General features: G+C 40.4%; 1 annotated feature.

Annotated features, from left to right (window-relative positions):
* Positions 1,778-2,335: an enhancer, noted in NCBI's record as "NANOG hESC enhancer chr18:55523486-55524043 (GRCh37/hg19 assembly coordinates)". NCBI's record gives its function as "activates a minimal SCP1, AML or CMV promoter by ChIP-STARR-seq in naive H9 embryonic stem cells {active_cell/tissue: H9 hESC(naive)}" and the evidence as "EXISTENCE:reporter gene assay evidence [ECO:0000049][PMID:30033119]".

Below are 4,052 nucleotides of genomic sequence, written 5' to 3' on the forward strand. Positions count from 1 at the left end.
AATAGTATGAAGTTAACTATAATATTTTCTTCTTACAGCAACAACAAAATTCTGTAAGAAAGATCATTCCCACCCAATATGGTGCTCTTTAAATGGTCCACAGCTTAAAATGTATATGAGGTCATATACGCTTATATTTGCCTAAAGAAATTCTGGAGAATAGACCCAAAACTAATAAATAAAAGTAATTAATTACCTGTGAGGGCTGGAGAGATGAAAATTCTAGAGATAAAGGATTTTAAAAAGTATTCCCTGGAAGACATTTTCTATTTTTAAATTCATGAGCTATGTGAATATGTTAACGATTGAGAAAGAAAAATCCCCAGCTATCTAGGCAGACTTCCCAAAGAGGCACCTTTGACTTTGGAATCATTTAGCTGTAGTTTTCTGCCCTGAAAGCCTCTTTTGTTATCCCCGGTCCATCCTGCAGGTGTGGTTGATAACAGATGTCAAAGAATAGGTGAAATTTTATGAGGTTAAGTGCAAATAATGAATATGACCCTCTTTGCGGTTCTTCCTCAATCTTCTATTCAAACATAAACTCAGTTCATGAAGAATGAAGTTTGTGGCATTGCTCAAGAAAGGCAGGATTCAATAAAATCTTTTTAGGGCCAAATGGAATTTTTTCAACTTTAATGATTTTTTCTTTAATTATGTTAAAGGAAGCTCCAGAATCTCTTTTAAAAAAGTATTTGTAGCCTGGGCAACATGGCAAAACCCCATCTCTACAAAGAATATAAAATATTATCCAGCAGTGGTAGCATGCACCTGTAGTCCCAGTTACCCAGGAGGCTGAGGTGGGAGGATCATCTGAGCCCAGGAGGTCAAGGCTGCAGTGAGCCACTGCACTCCAGTCTGGGCGAGAGCGTGAGACCTATCTCAAAAAAGAAATCAAACTATTTTTTGTATCGTTTTGCTGATTACAATGGTAAAATATGTTTGTTGTAGAAACTTTGGAATACATAAAAATTAAAGAGGACTAGTTCGTTAATACATAAGTCATAGTTTAACAGGGTCTAAGTTAGCCTTCCATACTTTGCCCATTTACAAAGTAAGGCATAAATTTCAATTCTTTTGTAATGTGATGGTTTATGTTTTCTTTAGATAGGATGTGATGTACCAAGCTGAGTGTTGGGAGGAACTACAGCCTCTCTTTTGAAATGGAAGATCCTCGGCCCAAGCTATAAACATGTTAGTCCAAAATTCATCTGGAATTTTGTTGTTTGGGATGCAAAACACAATATTCCCATAGAAACAATATAAAAATTATGGCTAGATTCTAAGGCAAGGCAACAGATGTCCATGGAATCCAGCGACTCAGAGCACCAACTGTCCAACTGTGCTTCATTTTCACAGAAAAAGGGAGGCTAGAACATGTCTTTACCTCAAAAAAAGCAAAAACAAAGTTTATGCAAAAAGTATTTTGTTATACTGATATGATAAATATTTAATGAGACAAATTTTTATCAATTATTTACCTAAAGTGACTTTATTTCTTATTTACTCCATTACTAGCAGGTTTATAAGCTTTTCCTCTCGCCTTTATTCACAATTTCTATTCTGCCTTTACTATTTTTAATGGTTTCCCCATTCCCCAGTTAACTCCTTGGCAAAGACAGAGGATGAGTGAAAAGCTTGTGGCCTGTAGACTAGATATCAGAATTGATCCACAGGAAAGAACCTCTTTTCAGAAGCCATCTTTACCTTGGGGTTTGATAAAGAACATAAAAGCCTCAATTGGTGCTATTTAATATTTGTTCCGAGACCGGTATTTGCATTTAGGGTGAAATGACTTGATGCACATTGTTTACAGCTAACTCTGAAGTTCAGGGGAAGGGGAATAATCCACTGAGTCAGAAGGCAAATATACCAGACTGATCATGAGTAAAACAAAGCCCTGGTGATCAGCTCTTCCTCTTATTCACTATCTGTATCTAGTGAAAATGGTCGCATATTTTCAAGTGGATTTTTAAAAGCTATTCTCAATGCTTTTAAAGGTTTTACAACCTCAGGGGAACAATGCATGCAATTGAACCACACAATAAACAGTAAACACCAATTGCCCCCCACAATGAAAAGCTAATGGTCTTTGAGAATACTCTACAACAGAATCCACTTAGCAGCTACTAGTCTCCTGCTAATGGTCAATTCACTTTCGGCAATAAGAACCCAGGCAAACGGCCTCATAAATTTTAAAGAACAAAGGGTACAATAAATGGACTGCAAATCGCCGCATTCTCTGTAAGCAGCACTCTAAGGAGTGAAATTTCCAATTGCTAATGGCCAGTATATTGGACAAGTGGAGATTTTCCTACTGAGGGACCAGAGAAGATGACAAAATATAATGGTTTTCACAAAGAGGACTAGAAGCTGGGGAAATTAAGTCCTTGGGTCTGTAGCACAGTTTGAGCTGTGAAAGTCGTTATGACCAGAAGATTGTCTAGCCTTCTCTGCGGTAGCCTGGGAAGCTGCTATCAGATTGCTTGCTGTTTGCTTTAATAGTGTATCGAGACCAGAAGCACACACACTGCTAGAACCAAAAATCCTGGATAGATTTAACAAAATCCACCAACCTTTCAGGGAGGATACATAAAAACATCCTTTTTTGCATTTTGATCTTGTGGGTACTTCAGAAATGCCATTTGATTCATGATGGTAAGTAGCCTAAACGAATGCAATGATATGTGAATTGATTAAATTCTGTATCAAAAGGGATCTCTAAGAAAGGAATAATAAGAACAGGAAAGTGGAAATATTGTGGAAACATTTTTGCAATAGACTGAATACGTTTTCCCAAAATTCTTTCCTGCCTGCCTGCCTGCCTGCCTGCCTGCCTTCCTTCCTTCCTTCCTTCCTTCCTTCCTTCCTTCCTTCCTTCCTTCCTTCCTTCCTTCCTGTCAGGCCTCTGAGCCCAAGCTAAGCCATCATATCCCCTGTGACCTGCACATACACATCCAGATAGCCGGTTCCTGCCTTAACTGATGACATTCCACCACAAAAGAAGTGAAAATGGCCTGTTCCTGCCTTAACTGATGACATTATCTTGTGAAAGTCCTTCTCCTGGCTCATCCTGGCTCAAAAGCTCCCCTACTGAGCACCTTGTGACCCCCACCCCTGCCCGCCAGAGAACAACCCCCTTTGACTGTAATTTTCCTTTACCTACCCAAATCCTATAAAATGGCCCCACCCCTATCTCCCTTCGCGGACTCAGCCCACCTGCACCCAGGTGAAATAAACAGCCTTGTTGCTCACACGAAGCCTGTTTGGTGGTCTCTTCACACGGACGTGCATGAAACTTCCTTCCTTCCTTCTTTCTTTCTTTCTTTTTTTGACAGTGTCTCACTCTATTGCCCAGGCCGGAGTGCAGTGGCATGACCTTGGCTCACTGCAACCTCTGCCTCCTGAGTTCAAGCAATTCTCATGCCTCAGCCTTCCTAGTAGCTGGGATTACAGGCACCTGCCACCGTGCCCAGCTAATTTTGTATTTTTAGTAGAGATGGGGTTTTACCATGTTGGCCAGGCTGCTCTCAAACTCCTGATCTCAGGCGATCCGCTTGCCTCAGCCTCCCAAAGTGCTGGGATTACAGACCACCATGGCCAGCCTGCCCCCAAATTCATATGTTGAAATCCTTCCCCCTAAGGTGATAAGATTAGGAGATGGGGCCTTTGGGAGGTGATTAGTTCATGAGGGTAGACCCCTCATGAATAGTATTAGTGCCCTTATTATAAAAGGGATCCCAGAGAACTCTCTTGCTTTCTCTCTACCATATGAAGATATAATGAAAAGACTGCAGTCTGTTACCCAGAAGAGCACTCATCAGAACCCAGTCACGCTGGCACCTTGATGTTGAACTTCCAGACTCCAAAACTATGAGAAATAAATGTCTGCTGTTTATCAACCACCCTGTTTATAGTACTTTGTTATAGTAGCCTGAATTGACTAAGACAATTATGGAGCTTGAAAGAACTGTGAGCTCCTCTTATGGTCAAAGGAGCTGAAACTTAGGCTTTGTCCTGAAATTTCCCTCTTTTTTTCCCCCTGAATCATTAAT

Source organism: Homo sapiens, chromosome 18 (genome assembly GCF_000001405.40).
Source record: "Homo sapiens chromosome 18, GRCh38.p14 Primary Assembly".
Lineage (NCBI taxonomy): Eukaryota > Metazoa > Chordata > Mammalia > Primates > Hominidae > Homo > Homo sapiens.